We start from the raw sequence: 20724 nt of genomic DNA, 5'->3' as shown, positions 1-20724 counted from the left end.
ATTTTGAACTTGTAAAAGTATGCAAATGTACCTAAATGTAGAACACCAAAATAAACTCACATGATCCCACTACCAAGCTCCAACAATTACCAAATTTTGCCTATTTTGTTCTATCTACGTTTCCCCCTTTTTTCTGGAGTATTTATAAAAGAGTTTCAGACACTATATTGTTTAACCCACTATCTAACTCTAACCAACAAGAACTAGGTGTTACATAATATTATACATATTATATGTATATAACTATATATTATATATAGTTATATACTATATATATAACTATATATTGTATATAGTTATATACTATATATATAACTATATATTGTATATAGTTATATACTATATATATAACTATATATTGTATATAGTTATATACTATATATATAACTATATATTGTATATAGTTATATACTATATATATAACTATATATTGTATATAGTTATATACTATATATATAACTATATATTGTATATAGTTACATATACTATATATATAACTATATATTGTATATAGTTACATATATAGTATATAACTATATATTGTATATAGTTATATACTATATATATAACTATATATTGTATATAGTTATATACTATATATATATAACTATATATTGTATATAGTTATATACTATATATATATAACTATATATATAACTATATATTATAGAGTTTAGGCAACATGGTTCTTCCAAATTCAGTGTTGAGCCAATGTGATAGGTTGCCAACACATGGAATCCAACGATGCTACTCAACATCCTGAAATGTGAGAAAGACGATGAGGTGCTAGGCAGGCAAACAACAGAAGGACCACCTCATAGTTTATTTTCTTCTTTTGCATAAGAGGCACAGGTTGTAGTAACAGGAAAAATATATATAATTTACAACTAATATGACAATGCAGTGTCTCATCTGGAGAATTTTCATGAAAATTTACTTCTTTGAATTCAGTCTAATCAAGGGCACAGGCTAGTTGCAAAATATCGCTCTGGATTTTATGAAGTCATTAAAATATCTTACATTTTTGTATAACAGAATTTCTTAATCTTCTCTAGGTCCTCCAAGACTGTCAAAATGGAATATATTTCCTTGATCAAACACCATTATAATGTCATTTACTCCCTCTTTTCTATATCTATTCAAAATCTAAGAAATAAAAGTTATATTTCTGAAATCAACTCACAAAATAGTTGAGCCAACCCTGTGGCTTTTTAAACATTGAGTTGTTAGCTGGGTGCGGTGGCTCACGCCTCTAATCCCAGCACTTTGGGAGGCCAAGGTGGGTGAATCACCTGAGATCAGGAGTTTGAGACCAGCCTGGCCAAAATGGCGAAACCCATCTCTACTGAAAATACAAAAATTACCCAGGCGTGGTGGCGGGCACCTGCACTCCCAGCTACTTGAGAGGCTGAGGCAGGAGAATAGCTTGAACCTGGGAGGCGGAGGTTGCAATGAGCTGAGATTGCACCATTGCACTCCAGCCTAGGCAACAAAGCAAGACTCTGTCTCAAAAAATAATAATAATAATAAAATAAATAAAAATTGAGTGTTTGAGGAAATCAAAATATCTCCAGACATAGTTGTTTATTCAGTAAAAAACAAAGACTGCCTAACTGATGCTGGGGGGACTGGAATCTTGGAGAACATGAGAGAAGACTCCAGGTGCTCCATTAGCGAGTGCTACAGAAGAGCATAAACCAACCCCAATACCCTTGCAAATGTGGGGTCTCCTTCAGTCTTCCCATCTGAACCTGTGGACTTGCTAAATCTTTATCTGAAAGACATGGCACTCAAGCCTTAGGCTGCTCTAGTCCAAGAAAAAGAATACCAGTATAATATATTTCCAGAAGTCCTTCTATCATTTTTTAAAACTGCCAGGATAGAAATTTCTCTGCCAACATAATTTTGCTTGCTTGCAACTTTGTAATATCTCTATTAGAGAAAGAAAACAATCTTCCTCAGTGGTCCAAATCAGAAAGGAAAAATGCTGATTGGATGATATCCCTGTCAATCATCTTAGGTATAAAAGGGAGGCAGGCATCCCAAGGGAGAGAAGCAGAGGACAAGTCATGTTGAGAGGGTCTGCCTCTGTGTGTATATCTATTTATCTGTCCCTCCATGTGGTTGTGGGGACAGGGTAGAAGATAGTGGGGTGGCCTCTATTCTGCTGGACCTGTAAATTAAAGAAAGCCAACTCACTAGCAGATTGTTGGGGAAAAAAATATTGATTGCAAGAAACGTGATTGGTATGTAATGTTGTTTTGGATATAAATTCAAACTGTTGAAAATCCCTCTGTCTCTTGGATGTCTGAACCTTTTATTGTTTGCCTTATGAAAAGAATTTATTAATTAGAGACTTTGGCAAGGAGAAGGTAATCTTTACTGTTCTTCAGTCAAAAATTCATTCCTCCAGATTTTCCCCCAAAACATTTGAAAGACCCACCCAGACACCTGTATCTCCTTTGTTCTCCTGAATCTTGTTTCTATGCTCACAACTCCTAGAGGATCTGTCGTGGCTAGACCAATGGCCCAGAGGACTGGACATTGCTGGAACAGATGACTCATCATTGTTATTCACACACTTTCCCCTTTATCCTTTTCTGAGGGACTTGAGTGCTACTTGAGAGAAGGGAAGAAAGAGTCTAAAATTTGACTGATTTGATTTTGGCTGTAAGACTCTTTGTTTTTACTTCTTTGGTTCTGGGTATAACAAAGTATCTTGGAGTTGGCCTAACAGGTCCTAGACGTTCTTCTAGAATCCACTTAGCTCTGTCCCCAAGACAGATTCAAAGAGATACACTATAGGAGTGGAGGATAGAGGTGTCCAGGGTGCAGGTAGCAGAGCTGTGAGTCTAGTGGCAGACAGAAAAAGATGCATTTTTCTGATTCTCTTCCACCCCTCCAGTCTTGGTTTGATCACATTATAATTCACTGTATGGCATCCTTCATAGTATAATAGTAACTTAATACAATAGGATAAGTATTTGTATAATTCTGACTTAAAGTCTTTCTCTTTCACACTGTAAGCTCATAAGGATAGTGAGTACCTGGCTTAATCACCAATGTATCCTATTACTTACCATACTACCTTGTACATAGTAAGTAGCTAGTAGAATACTCATTAAATAAATTACAAATGCAAAAATTTATAAGCCATTGCAAAGGAATAGTCAGACTAGCAGTTACAACTGTTACAAGTGGTTGCTGACCCTTGCCGCTCTCTCCTCATGCCAGCAGCCGACGGTGCTGTCTTGGTGGTTATGGTCATTCCTGTACTTCTTACAAGCTGTGGGCATCTTGTGGTTGTCTGGTTTGGGAGCTGCAGTATGCAACTAGGGCCCTCCACCACTGCTTTTCATCAGGCTGCCTTCAGTAAAGTCTATAGGTGTCATCTGAATTCATAAAAATTGATTTCACTTCGAATCATAGAGCAGTTCCAGCATGAACATACAATTTGCTACTGAGAGCCACAGATACTCAAGTTCTGATGTAACATGTCGACTTTACATGGATATTGTGTGTTTACCCTATATTATAAATTTGAAGCTGCTATGATGACTACTGATCCTTTTATCTTTTCGAATGTCATGTGTATATTTTCTTTAGCCATGCAGTTAGACATTTTTGTATTATTTGATTGTATTTTGCTACATATGACTCCCATTTATCCATGAGGGATGTATTCTAAGACAGCAGTGGATTCCTGAAATTGTGGCTAGTACCAAATCCTATATATACTATGTTTTTTCTTAAACATACATACCTATGATAAATTTTAATTTATAAATTAGGTAAATTGTTATAAATTAAAATTATGGTTAACAGATTAATTATAATAACTAAGAATAAAGTAGAACAATCATAACACTGTTCTAAAATAAAAGTTATGTGAATGTGGTCTTTCTCCCAAAACATATCATTATACTCTATTCACCCTCCTTTTTGGGATCTGTTGATCTGAAAGCTGAGATGGCTACTCAGTGACTCATGGGCAGGTAGAGTATACAGAATAAATATGTTGAACAAAGGAATGATTCATATCCCAGGTGGGACAGAGCAGGACAGTATATTTCATCATAATACCAGAAAGGCATGCAATTTAAAACACGTACCTTATTTATTTCTAAAATTTTCCATTTCATATTTTTGAACCTTGATTGACCATGTGTAACTGAAGTTGCAGAATGTAAAATCTCAAGTAAGGGGTAAATACTGTATTACAATCGGCTTAAACCAAACTTTGGCCATTTCTTGATGGGTTGGGCAGTTGGGAAAAGGGAGCAGATGTCCATGCAGGAATGTGTTCTCCCAGATCAGCACCATGGGTGAAACTGTGTGAGCTTGGTTCATATTTATGCAGGTTACAGACGTATTTGAAACTCAATCATACAAATAATGTCAAATCCAACTGTAGTGGTAATTAATACTTTGTCCTCTTTTTGTGAGTATTGATTTTATCTCTTATTGTATTGGCCTTATTGTAAATGTTTTTGTTATTGTAAGACAGATCACATCAGTTTTTGGAGGGTGAGAGGTGGGGACAGTGGAATACAAAAATATATAAGTACCATACAATAGTTAATAATAAGTCTTCAACAAAGTCATTCCCAATTCCAACCCGTCTAAATGTCGGAGCATTAATGTATGTGTGCAGAAATGGCATTGGAATAGATACTGATTGGCACAAAGTTTGCCAAGGTAAAGGCAGTGCACTTTTAAAAACAGTTACAGTAACACTTACTGCAGAGATGAACACCTTTTTACAGCAGATTAAGCACACTTAAGAAAGGATCCTAGCTAGAAAAACAATCTCTACACTAAAACAGGATTTGGTCAGCAGCTAACAGAGAGCCCAGCAGACAACGACCAGACGCAACTTCAGCTGCTCTCACTGAGCCATTGTTTTTCAGCGAGTGCGAGCTTTTCTCTACTTCGGTGAGATTCTCTGCCTTAGACGAGTGTTCAGGAGAGCACATATTTTTTTTTTCCTGACTTCCTTAAACCACGAAAAAAGAGGGCATACAATCTCTACAGACTGTAGGACAAATTAATTTCAAACAAATAGAAAAAAAAAGTAATAAAACTGAATGGCTCTGTTTTCTGGAGGTAACAGAGTTGAAAATAATGCAGTGATAATGAAACAAAAAAACTCCTGTTGAAAGCAGAAAGCTTAAATAACCATTCTTGGTTTGATATTGATTCACATTTCTTCTTTATCAGGTTCATTTATTTGCGTCATTTCTGCCATGACGAACTCAGTCTTTTCCTTTTTACCACATCAGTTCCTTCCTATCCACAGGCCCTTGAATCTTTGCCAAGGGGCCACTGCCCAGTGATAAAAGTCTTATTGCTCAACTCTCATCAACAAGTCATAAAAAAACCTCACTTCCATGATTAGCTCTGGAAAATCAGTTGAACCCTAGCCTTCAGCTTCACAGGGGGTATGTGTGTCTATTTTATTTCTATAAAGAGGTGGGGGAAATTTAATCCTTGAAAATAGTAATTGAGTAATTTCAACCTAAGATTGTGATCAAATCAGGCATTTAGGAATGGAGAATAGATACCTCTCCTTACTCTTTTCACCAATTGTTACCATGCAAAAGTATCTCATACTTTAGTTGTCTGAGTATTTAAATCTATTCATTAAGGTTACTTGTTTCTTTTAAATGAAATGAGCAGCTTTAATGACAGATGTAAATCAGGGTCTAGAAATCTTTTTTCTTTTTATCCTCCACCTAGGACCAAATCTATGACCTAAGTTGGAATCTTTCCAGATAAAAAGTTGATTCTAAATATAGCATTAACAGAAGGTCAGAGGCAGTTGGTAGTGTCAATATGATGTGGCAGTCGAAAAGGTGAAAGTAGTGTTGATTGTGATGGAAATGGTGAAGGGATGTGGTGGAAGGCAGTGTCAGTTTACGGGACGTGAGGAGGGAAGAAGCTTGGGTCTTCTGATGACAAATTCTATACTCTGCTGTTCTTAAAATGTCACTTTGAGTTATTAAATGTTTTAGTCCATTCAGGCTGCTATAGCAGAATATCACAGACTGGATAGATTATAAACAATAGAATTGTATTTCTCACAGTTCTAGAGGCTGGGAAGTCTGAGATCAAGGTGCTGGAAGATTCAGTGTCTGGTGAAGGCTCACTTTCTTGCCTATAGATAGCCATCTTTTTGTTGTTTCTTCACATGGTAGAAGGGTAAGAAAACTTTCTGGGGTCTCTTTTATAAGGACACTGATCCCATGTATAATGGCTACACCATCACGACCTAATCACCTCCAAAAAGCCTAACTCCTAATACCATCACCTTGGGGGTGAGGATTTCAGCATATGAATTTCAGAAAGACACAAATATTGAGTCTTTGACATTTAGCCCCTGGCCTCCAAGGATGTACTTTGAAACTACTTTTGCAAAAATTATAACAGTGAGAAAATTATGACAGTTACAGTGGTTTGACCTGACTCCATCTTGCTTCCAACCTCCATGCTATCCTTGTTCATTCTTGGGCATAGGCCAAACTAGCTTTGGGAGAAACTTAGTTTATAGTTTAACTTTGAAACAAAGATAATAACAGCTCTTCCTTGAGAGAAACCCCCTTCTTGCCTGCAGACCAGACTGCCTTTGTTGGGATAACAAATTTGCCAGAAGATTAGAAATTATGGTTTAGGAGTCATGCAACTAGAGGCCACAAGATGCTAAACCTCCCCAATTGCTCCTAGGGATACCATCATTATTAGTTTAAAACCTAAGATTAGTGCTCAAGATATTTTTCAGACCCTGCACTCAATGGATCAGCTGGCACCACCCAGATTGATAAACTGACTTATCTCGTCTTGTGGCCCCCCACCCAGGAACTGGCTCAGCAAAAGAGGACAGCTTTGACTCCCATGATTTCATCTCCAACCCTACCATTCAGAACTCCCCACTCCTGGGCCTTCTACCTACCAAATTATCCTTAAAAGACCTGAGTGCTCAAAATTTCAGGGGGATTGATTTGAGTAATGATAAAACTCCAGTCTTCCATTCAGCCATCTCTGTGAAAATTAAACTCTTTCTCTATTGCAATTTCTCTGTCTTGATAAATTGGCTCTATCCAGGCAGCAGGCAAAATGAACCTGTTGGGAGATTACAGTGTCTTTCTAAACATACAAAGTATATTGATTACATCTCAATTGCCTCAAAAGTCTCAACTCCTAGCATCAACTCTAAAATCTGAGATCCAAAGTCTCATATAAATATCTAAATCAGATATGGGTAAGACTCAAGATTCATCTTCAGATAAATTACTCTCCAGCTGCAAATCTGTGAAACAAAATAAATTATGTTTTTAAAGTAAAATGGTGAGACAGGCACAGGATAGACATTTCTCCCAACATGAAAAAATAGGAAAGAAGAAAGGGTTAATGAATCTTGATGAATCTCAATCAAGTTCGAACTACAAGGCAAACTCCATGAGATCATAAGGGTTGAGAATAATAATAATTTGGTTCAATGCTCTGATATCTAGGCTCACTGGGACAGACTCTCATCTTCTGGACCTACTCTGTGTCTTTCCAGAATTCATACGTTAAAATCTAACTTGAGAAGGAATGTACAAAGACTGACTTGGATTTTACAAGACAGGCTCACAGAGCCGTTTGGCTAGAAACACATGCTTTTCTTCAAGACAAGGGAAGAATTACCTTGAAGGCAATTCAGAGACCATCACGGCTGCCTCTTTGGTTTTAAAAGAGGGGCCATTGCCTTACTTTCAACAGGCCAGATGACTCCGCCCGCACATGGGTGCGTGCGCGTGTGCAGACACACAGACACACACACACACACACACACACACACACACACACACCTGTGAAGTTAAAGGCTAGGATTCAACTGATTTTTCCAGTGCTGCAGGTGAGGGAGGAGAGATCTACCCAGCAGGGCTCGTGCACCCAGGGAACTGCTGGACGGCGCTGCCTCCACAGCTCTGGACAGAGACATCTGACTTGTTGAAAGCAGGCGAGGGCGCCACTTCAGCAACCAGGCCCAGCCAGACTCGGCTTTGCCCACAAGCCCATCCCAACCTCACTCACCAGAACCGGACTGCACAAGTCTCTGATGCTTCTCCATGGAGATGGTCTTTGTTTCATTTATGGAAGAAGGTGACTCACCTGAGAGTGAGCAGACTCCGAATGCCTCTGGAAGGTGAAATGTTTCAGCCTGGGCCAGGCTGGAAGGCACGAGGGTGTGTGGTCAATCCCTCACCTCTGCAGGTTTCCTGGTGCTTGGAGTTAAGTGACAGGTGGAGCTGCTGCCTCTGTGGGCTTCGAACATGAGCTCCCTAAGGACAGGGGTCTTTTGGGTAGGTTGTGTCCAGCAACTCATGTTAGTCTGGTCTTATTAAGAAATCACTTCAGGGCACAAATACTTCCATGAACCTGCTGAGGGCTGCATTCAGCCATCTGCTCTGCTATCTGTGAGACAATGTATGCCTGTCCTTCTCTTTCTGGAGAGTGTGAAGTGGATGAATGGGCTAGAGGAGGAGGGAACAAAGTGGTGGACTGAGGACCTGGACAGTGGGCTTCATGGCAAAATACTTGGGAATGGTTTAGTTGTTGGGAAGACGACCTGCTCTTGTTAAAGCCAGCATGGTTCTGAGTTGACATCCTGCCTTCCTATGTTTAATCTTCACTGCCACCTGCCACCTTCCACAGCCCTGCCCAATGGTCCTCCCCACTCTGGGGCAAAATCAGCTTGCTCTCAGCACCTGCTGAGATCGGATTCTTCTGCCAAGGGCCCCAGGTTCTCAGCAGATATTTGCAGGGATTTGATTAGCTTTGATGGAAATTTAGGGAAGGGAAGGAACAGAAAGTCCTGAAGCCATGTTACCCCAATTCAGATCGTCCTTCTCAGTTGGAAGTAAAGAGAGAGTATAAAGAACGGGTTTCCATCTTCTGCACCTTAGGTTCTTTGCCCACCAGGGGTCTCAGGGTAGCTCTGCACAGCCAGGTAGGAGGAAGAATCTCCAACTGCTCTGCTGTCTGTCAGACAACATATGCTCATTGCACACTGGCAGACAGACAATACTATAGTGGGAATGGGGTGATGGGCCTCCCTGGAAACAGCCTCTCTCCCATCCCCCCTCACTCTTTCGTGCTTGGGGCCTTTGCTTCTCCTCCTTTGCTTGTGGAGCTGCTTAGTGTATAGCTGCGTAAATTCACATAGGGCTGAGTAAGATTGAGATCACTCAACCTGGCCAACTTTTCCCAGGATCTCTCAAAAACCCCCACCCAGGGATGAGAACTCAGAATGTAAACTGAGTCACTATGGGGGATGAAGATCTGGCATAAACTGTATTTTCCAGGCACATGTTTGGCTCAGGAAGGGAGGCAGCCTCAAATGAGCCTGCGATACTATGCAGCCAAGGCCTGCAGAAGACCTCCTGGCGTTATTAAACATGTTTATAAATTCAGTCAAACAGCGATTTAAAAAACCCTCTGTGAATTACAGCAGTTCATGAATCAACTTCATGAAGCTAACCTGGGCATAAAGGAGGAGGCTGTCTATTCTTAACAGAGTGGCAGCCTCCTGGAATAACATTTCAAGTAAATAGGCAGGAATAGAAACTCCCTTGATGTCATGACAAGACCATTTTGTGAGAAGTAATGTATTTGCATTGCAAGGATTCTAGGTGACACACTAAGCATGCCTTAGACAAGGGTATTGATCATGGGCCTCAGAGGATTGCAATCCAGGACAAGGGCAGCCCAGGAGAAGGGAATCCTCTGCAGGCATGCGCTGTGAGTGAGTCAGCAGACACCTAACTCTACATTGTGGGAGCTGCCCTGGAGACGAGGTCAGCATGCTGTAAGTGGGTGCAGGGAATTCTCTTCCAACATGATGGTGGTCTACGGTAGGAGGCAGCCAGGTGAGGACAGGGATGGAGAGCATCCCAGGAGGGAAGGCATATGTGAAAAGCAAAGTGCAGATGGGCAGAAACCAACAGAAACAGGGGTTTCTGTGGAGGGACTGGACAATGGAGAGAGTGGTGTGAGGAGAACCCAGGGAGACAGAAAGGGCTGTGGCTCTCAGGGGCTTCTAGAACAAGTGAGGAAGCTTGGATTAAATACAAAATGCCACAGGAGGCTACTGGTGGGTCGTAAGCAGAAATAATGTTATCTAACATATATTCTTAAAGATTGTGTGTGTGTGTGTGTGTGTGTGTGTGTCTGTAAGCATGTGTGAGTTATGTGGTGGTTGTGTGTGAGTGTATGAGTGAGTGTGAGTGTGTGCATGTGTGCATGTGGTCATAAGTATGAGAGTGTTATGAATGTGTGTGGTGGTATGTTTGTGAGTGAATGCATGTGGTGGTGTGTATATGTGTGTGTGTGTCCATGCATGTGGAAGGGACTGGAGGGAAGCAGGAAATGCGGGCAGGGTATGCAGCTGGCAGGGTAACTGATATTGGCTATGGTCACATAGAGGTGACTGTGGCTTAGAGTCAGACAGTGGCCATAAAGGTGAAGAAATGAGAGATTCAAGTTATATTTTGAAACTGAAATGGGCAGGGCACAGTGGCTCACACCTATAATCCCAGCACTTTGGGAGGCCGAGGCAGGTGGATCACCTGAGGTCAGGAGTTCAAGACTAGCCTGACCAACATGGTGAAATCCCTTCTTTACTAAAAATACAAAAATTAACCTGGTGTGGTGGCATGTACTTGCAATCACAGCTACTCAGGAGGCTAAGGCAGGAGAATCGCTTGAACCTGGGAGGCGGAAGTTGCAGTGATTCAGGATTGTGCCACTGCACTCCAGCCTGGCAGCTCGGGCAATGGAGCAAGACTCTGTCTCCAAAAAAATAAAAATGAAAAGAAAGAAAGTGAAATGAACAAGGCTTGGAGATGTGTTTAAACTGGGTGAAAAATACTAACAGAGGTATAAATGATAAGTCCTACATTTATGGACTCAAGCAAATGTTGGATAAAGGTAATGGTGCCATTTACTGAGACAACAAAGACATAAATGAGAACAGGCTGGTGAGAGAAGGAGGCATTCGGGACACCTTCACTGGGGATGCCTTGGAGTGTAGCTCTCAGGTGGGCCAATGCTGCACAGGAGAGGAGTCCGGGCTGGAGGTGTGGCTTTAGACATTGTTGGCATATGGATGGACTAGATGCCATTGGGGGGATGAGATCACCCAGGGAGAGGCATGTGCATGTGGATCCTGTGTGCTGTCCTCCTAGAATGTTCCAGAGGCCAGGCTTTTCCTTAGAGAACCTGCTACCCCTCTGACCCCCCAAACACGATTATGTATTGTTTAAACATTGCTTCCATTTTGGCTCTGGAGGACAGATGGTGGGGCACTGCCCTGCTTCACACCTCTGACCCCCCAAACACGATTATGTATTGTTTAAACATTGCTTCCATTTTGGCTCTGGAGGACAGATGGTGGGGCACTGCCCTGCTTCAAACCTCTGACCTGCAGCAGGTAATGTGGCAGATCAATGAAAGGAAGTCATTACCCCTCACCAGCTTTACAGAGTTATAACTGACATATACAATTGGATATATGTAATGAGCTTTGATATACACATACATTGTGAAATAATTACCACTATCAAGCTAACGAACATATTCGTCACCTCGCATCGTTACATAGTGTGTGTGTGTGTGTGTGTCTGTAGTGAGATACGTAAGACCCACTCTTAACAAATTTCAAGCATTCTGAAGGTTGATTTGGCAAAATAAAAATTAAAACAGCCTCTATATAAGAAAAAAGTTAACAAAATAAAAGACAACATGTGCAAAATATTTACCACATATACATATCAGATGAAAAAGTCTTGATTTTACAGAGAATTCTTTCAAATCAACAAGAAGAGGACACTAATTTAAAATTGGGCAAAGTACTTTTTTCCAGATCTACAAGTGATCTATGCATATAGGCAAAAACATTTAATGTTCCTGGTAAGACAAGGAATTTAAGAGAAACGAGGAATTGAAATACTGTTTTCTATCCACAGAGTTTGCGAGAATGAGGAGCAGCATACTTACACTGCTGCTGAAAGTTTAAGTTGTTGATGACTTTCAAATAGAAAATTTGGTGGTGAAGTACCACATTTAAAAAATGCATATGCCCTTTACCCTTCAATTCCATTATACTAAAATTTCTTTAGGAAATAATTAGAGATACATGCAATTTGTTTTCCTCAGTCTGCTTAAAACAGAAATGTAGTAGAGTAAGGTACTTCACTTACTCAGGTTACCTACTTTGCCTCTGTAAGTATTTGAGTTTGTAACTCCTGTTTTATAGTATATTATATAATATATAAAGAAAAAGAAAAAAAAGATTGATACTTTAAAAGAATTATTACAAGATACAGCTTTCCTTTATGCATTTATGGTAAATATTTGTGAAAATACTGAATTTGTTTAAGGTAAAACTGTTTTTTTCGAAAAATTTTTTTCCCACCTTAGATTTTTTTTTTCCCTAATTAGTGTAAATCAACACAAGAAAGCAAAATTTGCCTCCATAAAGTGAGTCAACACGTGAAATTTAGGGGACATGCAGAAATCTAGATTTCAGGCTTTCCTTAAAGAATCAAATCTGCTACCAGCTGAGCCCTTATCACCATTTAGCCTGCTGTGCAGAGGTTGCCCCTTCATACGGGCCATATGCTATCCAATTTCCTACTGTGACTCTCTAGTTACTTCACTTACTCAGGTTAACTACTTTGCCTCTGTAAGTATTTGAGTGTGCAACTCCTGTTTTATAGTATATTTTGATAATGATTTCAAGGATTTGAAGACAGTTTATACTTGATATAAATAGTAATTATTACATAATTACTAGAAATATAAAAACAATTATGAAAATAGTAATTGTATTTATCACTCACAGGGCTTACCAAATAGTCATACTCGGGTTTTTGATTTATTACAAAGGCTGCTCTTCAATTAATGTAGTGAGTACACAGGAGGACAGAAGATGTTAGTGGTTGTAGTGGCTGTTTAATAAACAGTTTATTGCACTGGCAAAGGGCTGGAGCAGTCCATATGGGCCTATGATGTTAGGTCCTTATGGAGTTCTATATAACCTAAACTCTAATCATGTTAATCCTCACAGGCTAATAAATACTGTGTTTTCTTCAGAAGAAAATTAATATTTCTCAATTTCTATTATTTTTATTTTTGTGAATTGGTATTTTCTGTGAAATTTTAGTCTCTTCAGAAGTAAAGGGAATCTTTTGATTTGTGCTTAGAGATTTTATTATTTATACATTTTATTATATGCATATGTTTTTATTATATATAGATTTATTACATATCAGCTCTTTATTACAATGAAAGGATACAAAGCAAAATTAGCAAAGGGAAAAGGTGTAGTGGTAAAATCTGGAGGAAATCAGGCACAGGTTTCCAAGGATCTTCTCCTGTGGGGTTACCAGAACGTACTTCATTCCTTCAGCCTCAAAATTTGACAACACATGTGCAGTGTTGTCTATCACTACCACAGTCTTGTTAGAGGCTCAGTGCTCAAGTTTTTAATGGAGGCTAGTCACATAGGCAATCTCTCTCTAATGTACTCAACTTCCAGACTCCCAGAAGGAAAGCAGCTGTTCGGAGACAACTGCATTGTTTATGCAAACAGTTTAGGACACAGTGAACCACTCATCTCAGTTAGGGAATATTGGGGACTCTCCCAATTCCAAGTTCCCAAATGCCAACCAGAGGCCAGCCAGGCAAGCAGGCCTTTCTAAAGATGGCAGTCTCATGCCTGCTATATGAAATCTCCTCTGCACAGCAGTTATAGTCCCTACTTAATTTTTGTTGTTGTCTTAACATTTTATTTTAAATGCAAACAATATAATGATATAACACGGTACTGGTTTCAGTTGTAGGATCCATCTAAACTTGCAAGACTGGTTACTTTTTTGGCTTTTGGTGAATAACAGTATTTGTATGTAAGTTACTATGGCAATATTAGGTAATTATAATTTGTCCTTCTTATCTGATTAACATTTCAGTAAAATTGTTAGATGAAGTAAGCATAATAATTTCTAATTTAAAATTACAATAAAAATTGTCTTATGTAGATGGTCCACTTTTCATTCATATTGTGTCAAATTTCTATTTATAACTGCAAAATAAGATGAAATATTTATCATTTTTATCAATTTTTCTCTTGGCTAAGTATGCAATTTAAATTATAGGCTTTACATATTTTTGTATACTTCGGATTTGGGAGATAATGCTCATATTCTCTTACTTTGACCTTTCATGATCTCTAATTTTCAAGATGTCTATATTAGTCTGTTTTTCATTACCATAAAAAATACCTGAGACTGGGTAATTCAAAAAGAGACTTATTTGGCTCACTATTCTCAAGGCTGTACAACCATGGCACCAGCACCTGCTCAGCTTCTGGTGAGGCCCTGGCAACTTGACACTATTTCCCCAGAATTTCTTCTTAAGCTTCTGTCTGAATTAGTGGTACGGTTCAGAGAAGAGAAGCTCTTAAGGAAGTGATCTTTCCAGCGGTTCTTTTCACGGGAGGTAATCCGGCAGGTGCATTTGAGCCTTGTTTACACCATACATGGGGCGGAGAAAATAGCCGGAATTAAATAAACTTAACAGCGTCTTCCCCAAAAGAGGATTCATGAGAGTAAGTACGTTGATCTCTCTTGAGCTCTTCTCCACTGGCAGCTGGAAAGTCTTTGCAAGGATCCTTCTCCCTGGACTTCCGTCTGTGTTTTTCCATGCTTCAAGATATGGTGCCCATAGACCTAGCTTCTTGTGATAGGGTGTTTTATCTTAAACTAAACAATTTCAGCTGTAGAGCTGAGGTAACTGTGTTGTGTCATAAAAAAATAAGTACAGTAATTTCCCCTTATCCATGGGGGATACTTTCCAAGACCACAGCGAATGCCTGAAACCGTGGCTAATGCTGAACCCTATATATACTGTTTTTTTCTAAACATATATATCTATGATAAAGTTTAATTTATACATTAGGCACAGAAAGAGTTTAATAACAGTAACTAATAATGAAATAGAAAAATTGCAACATATACTGTAATAAAATTTATATGAATATGGGCTCTCATAACATCTTATGCTGTAATCTCCCTTCCTGTGATGATGTGAGGTGATACAATGCCTATATGATGAAAGGCAGTGAGATGAATGAAGTAGGCATTGTAATGTAGTGTTAGGTTACTATTGACCTTCTGACATATAGTAACCTGCTTTGGGTGATTGTGGATCAGGGAGCCATGATGTTGATGGTTGGATGTCAGGAGCAGACTGGGAGTATAGCATATAAAGTGAGAATACACCGGACAAAGGGAAGATTCACATTCTGGGTGGCATGGAGCAGAATAGCTCAAGATTGCATCACGCTTCTCAGAATGGCATACTATGTAAAATGTATGAATTGTTTATTTCTGGAATTTTCCATTTAATATTTTTGGACTGTGGTTGACTGTAACTAACTAAAACCACAGAAATCAAAACTGCTGATGTAATACTGTGAAATATGTTTGTTTTTCAACCCTGTTTCCTGGCATACAACTCATAAAATCCTTAGAATCTCCAAAATGATGTCTTTTGTATGCTAATTATTGAATGATGGCTGGCAGCACCAGCGTGGGGGCTGGTCACCAGGAAGAAGACCAAGGCATGATTAGAGGGCTGGGACTTTCAGCCCCACCATCCAGCCTCCTGGGAGGGGAGAGGGGCTGAAGGTTAATCACTGATGGCCAGTGATTAAATCAGTCATGCCTATATAATGAAGTTTTCATAAAAACCCAAAGGACTGGGTTCAGAGAGCTTCCAGATAGCTGTACACATAGAGATTCCTGGAGGGTGGAGCACTCAGAGAGGGCATAGAAACTCGGTGGCTCTTCTCCCATACCTCACCCTACAATCTCTTCAGCTGTAGTCTTTGTTTTTGTTATTGTGTTTTGTTTTGTTTTTGAGAAGGAGTTTCACTCTTGTTGCCCAGGCTGGAGCGAAATGGTGTGATCTTGTCTCATTGCAACCTCCGCCTCCTGGGTTCAAGTGATTTTTTTGTATATTTTGGAGAGAAGGGGTTTTCACCATGTTATCCAGGCTGGTCTCAAACTCCTGACCTCAGGTGATCCACCTGCCTCGGCCTCCCAAAGTGCTGGGATTACAGGCGTGAGCCACCGTGCCCCGCCATCTGTAGTCTTTGTAATTTCCTTTATAATAAACTGGTAAACGTGTTTCCCTGAGTTCTTTGAGCAGCTCTAGGAAGTTAATCAAACCCAAAGATGGGGTCATGGGAACCCCAACTTGAAGCAAGTCAATCAGAAGTTTTGGAGGCCCCGACTTGCAACTGATGGTTGCAGAGGAAGTCGTATGAGACTGAGCCTTCAGCCTGTGGGATCTGATGCTATCTCTAGGTAGATAGTACTAGAATTGAATTGGAGGTCACTCAGCTGCTGTCAGCTGCAGAAGTGATTACTTGCTTGTTGGTGGGGAAATACCCCACACCTTTGGTCACAGAAGTGTTTTGTGTTGATGATTGTTGTTGCGCTGTGAGGGCATAGGAAAAACGTGTTGAGTGTGTTTTTTCTATACATATAGTGGATAAGGGGGGATTACTGTATACTCTATCCTAACTGCTCCTAGTTTATTTGTTCAGAAATCATGATCCTTAAGTTTGACATTCTTTGCTTATGATACTGATCCTGCTAATGATAACATTGTCAGTCTGATATGATTTTGTTAGGATTATGACTACTGTACACCACAGTTAACTTGTAGGTATCACATTTTGATAAATGGTATTTATTAAATAAATACATTTGATAAAGACAAAGAAGAGAAAGTAAGACTTCTTATTGCATTAATTGCCTACCAATAGTATAGTTAATAGTAATCCTAGTATAATCTGCAGGTATATCCCAAGGGAATGCTTTGTAAAAAATTGTCAGAGTCCAGAGTTATTAACTCACATCTTATCTTTCTTATGAGCAGCAGGGCTAGATAGAAGTTAATCATTTTTATTAATCTCCTCAAAGTGTTTGGTGTTGTTGGTTTTTCCCATTTTTTGTTTTAATTGGTTTCATCTTTGATGTCTGATATGGTTTGGATGTGTGTCCCCACTCAAATCTCATGTCGATCTATAATCCCCAGTGTTAGAGGTGGGGCCTGGAGAGGGTGATTGGATCTTGGGGATAGATTTTCCCCCTAGTTCTGTGTCTCAGTAGCAAGTGAGTTTTCATGAGATCTGGTTGTTTAAAAGTGTGTGGCACCTCCCCCACCCCCTTCCTCCTGCTCCAGCCACGTGAAGTGCTGGTGACCCCTTTACCTTCCACCATGATTATAAGCTTCTGAGGCCTCCCAGAAGCTGAGTAGATGCCAGCATTATGCTTCCTGTACAGCTTGCGGAACCATGAGCCAATTAAACTTCTTTTCTTTATAAATTACTCAGTCTCAGGTATTTCCTTATATCAATGCAAGAACAAACTAATACAATGTCAGAGTCCTTTTGTCCTGCTGTAACAGAATGCTATAGACTGGGTAGCTTATAAACAACAGAAATTGATTTCTTACAGTTCTGGAAGCTGTGAAGTCCAAGATCAAGGTGCTGTCAAATTTGGTGTCTGGTGAGGGACCACTTTCTGCTTTATAGATGTGTTCTTTTTCCCTATGTTCTCACATGGCAGAAGAGACGAAGAAGCTCTCTAGGAACTCTGTATAAGGGCTCCAATTCCATTCATGAATGAGGGCTTGGTCCCCATGACCTAGTCACCTCCAAAAAGCCTCATCTAGCAATAACATCACCTCTGTGATTAGGTTTTAACATATAAATTTTGGCGGGGCACAAACTTTCAGACCATGGCAGATGTTTACTATTTTCTTTCGTCTGCTTCCTTTGCGTTTAATTTCCTCTTCTTTTTTTCTAGTTTCTTAAGGTAGCAGTCCAAGTAATTGATTTGGTACTCTTCTAATGCAGGATATTCAGTGCTAAACATTTTTATTTAAGGGCTGTGTAGCTGCATTCCATAACTTCTGATATATTGTGTTTTCAGCATATCGAATGTTCAAAATACTTTCTAATTTCACTTTTTATTATCTCTTTGACTCAGAGTTATTTGGATGTGCATTACTTAGTTTCCAAATAATTGAGTTTTTCCAGGGATATTTTTATTATTGGTCTCTAATTTGATTGCTTTTCAGTCAGGAACATACTTTGTATGGCTTAAATCCTTTTGACTTCATTCTTTTATTAACATTTATTGTATGATCTAGAATGTGGTCTATTTTGGTAACTGTTCCATGGGTACTTGAGAATAGCGCTATTCAAGTCTACTCTGTCTTACTGATTTTCTGCCTTCTTGTTCTATCAGTTCAGTAAGGGGTGTTGAAATCCCAGACTATACCTGTGAATTTGTCTATTTCTTTTTGCAGTTCTATTCATTCTTGCCTCCCATATTTTGAAGCCGTCATGTTATTGTATGAATAAACATTTAGAACTGTTATGTTTTTGTTATTATGAAATGACCTTGTTAGTGCTGATAATATTTTTGCTGTGAAATCTCCTTTGGTATCAATACAGCCACTTCCCCTACGTCTTGTTTTGGTAAGTGTTAGCATGGTATATCTTGTTCTATTCTTTGAGCCAATTTGTATCTTTACATTTAAAGTGCATTCTTTATAGGCAGCATATTGTTGGGTCTTGCTTTTTTATCCAGCCTGAGATTCTGCCTTTAATTGAGGTTTTTAGAACAGTTTCATTTATAGTGTGATTATCGAGTTAGATTTGTCTGTCATCGTGCTGTTTGATTTCTATTAGTCCCAGCTCATCTTTGTTTCCTTTTTCTGCTTTCTCTGCTTTTTTTTTAGATTAGCCAAGTAATTTTTATGATTTAGTTTTATATCTCTTTTTTGACTTGTGAGCTATAGCTCTTTTTTTTTTTTAAATTTAGGTACTGTTGTAGCTGCATTCCATAACTTCTGATATGTTGTGTTTTCAGCTGTTCGAAATCCATTTTTTTTTTTTTGAGATTTTGAGACAGAGTTTTGCTCTATTGCCCAGGCTGGAGTGCAGTTGTGGGATCTCGGCTCACTGCAACCTCCACCTCTGGGGTTCAAGTGATTCTCCTGCCTCAGCCTCCCGAGTAGCTGGGATTAAAGGCATGCACCATTATGTCCAGATAATTTTTTGTATTTTTAGTAGAGACGGGGGTTTCACCATGCTGGCCAGGCTGGTCTCGATCTCCTGACCTCGTGATCTCTCCGCCTTGGCCTCCCAAAGTGCTGGGATTACAGGTGTGAGCTACCACGCCCGGTCATTCGAAATACTTTCCAATTATACTTTTTATTAACTCTTTGACCCTGGGTTATCTGGATGTGTGTTACTTGGTTTGGCTGTCTTAGTGGTTGCTTCAGGATTTATAGTATACGATTTTAACTTATCATAGTTCACCTTCGAGTAATATTATACCACATCCTATACAGTATAAGAAAATTACAATAGAATACTTTTATTTCTTCTCTCCCAGCCAGCTTCTTTCTGGATCTGTAAAGTTTATAAAGTTTTCAGCTGTTTTTTCCTCAAATGTTTTTTCTGCCTCTCTTGCTTTCTGGGGGCTTCTATATTAGCCGCTCGAAGTTTTCTCACAATTCACTAATGTCTCAACTTTATGAATCTTTTCTTTTGTGATGTCTAATCTGTGCTTATATTTATCTAGTGTAATTTTCATCTCTGACATTGGAGTTTGCATCTCTACAAGTGCAGTGTGATTTTTAAAAGTATCTTTATGGCTCAACTTACCTTGTTGAGATTTATTTAGGGATACGGCTGAGTTATTTACAAACAGCTTGATCCTGTCCATTCTTGCTTTTATGATTTGGGCTAATTCCTCATTCCTGAGGCAAGATCTTTCTGATTATTTATTGTCCTGTGAATTAGGAGTCTTTTCCAGCCTGCTCTTGGGAATGGACACCCTTCCTCACACTATGTGATCACCAGGCACAGTTTCCTTTAGTGTTTTTAGATTTTTTTCCCTTGTTGTTGGAGAGTTTCCTAGTACACATGCCATGTTCAATATTCTGCCAAATACCCAGGAGGGTATCTCTGCATCTCCAGGGTTCTTTCTCTGTACCTCTGTTTTCTCTCCAGTGTTCTGACCTGTGGTTTCTGTCTGCTTTGGTTTGACCAGGCTCTCAGCTTCATCACTCCAACTCAGGGAGACTGCACCTCAGTTTGTTAATTTCTGTGCCATGACCTGGAAACGCTTTCAAGGCAGAGAGCTGGAGCATTCAGAAGGCTTACTTTATATTTTTCTCCTGTCTTCTAGGAATTATTGTCTTCTTTGCCTGAAGTCCACTGTCTTGAAAATTATTTTAAAATATTTTTTGTCTGTTTGTTTTTGGTTATTTTAGCTAAGAAGGAAAATCAGTACCTGTTGCTCCATCTTGGCTAGAAGCAAATTGTAATAGATCTTCAGCACATGCCATAGACTGGATAGAATGCTTTTTCCCCCCTTTGCTTAACTGCTTTCATCTTATTCTTCATTTCTCAGTGTAGCCGTCTCTTCCTCAGGGAAATCTTCCCTGGGCCCGGTATTGATTAAATTCTCTTATGTCAGCATAGAACTCTGTTATCTTTTTCTGTCTTTGTTCTTCACTACACTATAAGCTAACCAAGAGCAGAAGTTTTGTCTGTTTTATCTGCAGAGCTTAGTATAGTGTCTCTTACATTTA

General features: G+C 39.3%; 3 annotated features.

Moving 5' to 3' along the window:
* Positions 2360-2529: an enhancer, noted in NCBI's record as "experimental_32869 CRE fragment used in MPRA reporter constructs". NCBI's record gives its function as "activates a minimal promoter by MPRAs in K562 erythroleukemia cells, with activity observed for the non-introgressed 13:39528740 variant allele {active_cell/tissue: K562}" and the evidence as "EXISTENCE:reporter gene assay evidence [ECO:0000049][PMID:34662402]".
* Positions 3174-3346: a silencer, noted in NCBI's record as "fragment chr13:39527838-39528010 (GRCh37/hg19 assembly coordinates)". NCBI's record gives its function as "represses an EF-1alpha promoter that drives an FKBP-Casp9 reporter gene in an ReSE screen in HepG2 liver carcinoma cells {active_cell/tissue: HepG2}" and the evidence as "EXISTENCE:reporter gene assay evidence [ECO:0000049][PMID:32094911]".
* Positions 14452-14621: an enhancer, noted in NCBI's record as "experimental_32865 CRE fragment used in MPRA reporter constructs". NCBI's record gives its function as "activates a minimal promoter by MPRAs in K562 erythroleukemia cells, with activity observed for the introgressed 13:39516648 variant allele {active_cell/tissue: K562}" and the evidence as "EXISTENCE:reporter gene assay evidence [ECO:0000049][PMID:34662402]".

This window comes from Homo sapiens, chromosome 13 (genome assembly GCF_000001405.40).
Source record: "Homo sapiens chromosome 13, GRCh38.p14 Primary Assembly".
NCBI lineage: Eukaryota > Metazoa > Chordata > Mammalia > Primates > Hominidae > Homo > Homo sapiens.
The sequence above is the reverse complement of the archived record's forward strand: the minus strand, read 5'-3'. Positions and strand labels throughout refer to the sequence as shown.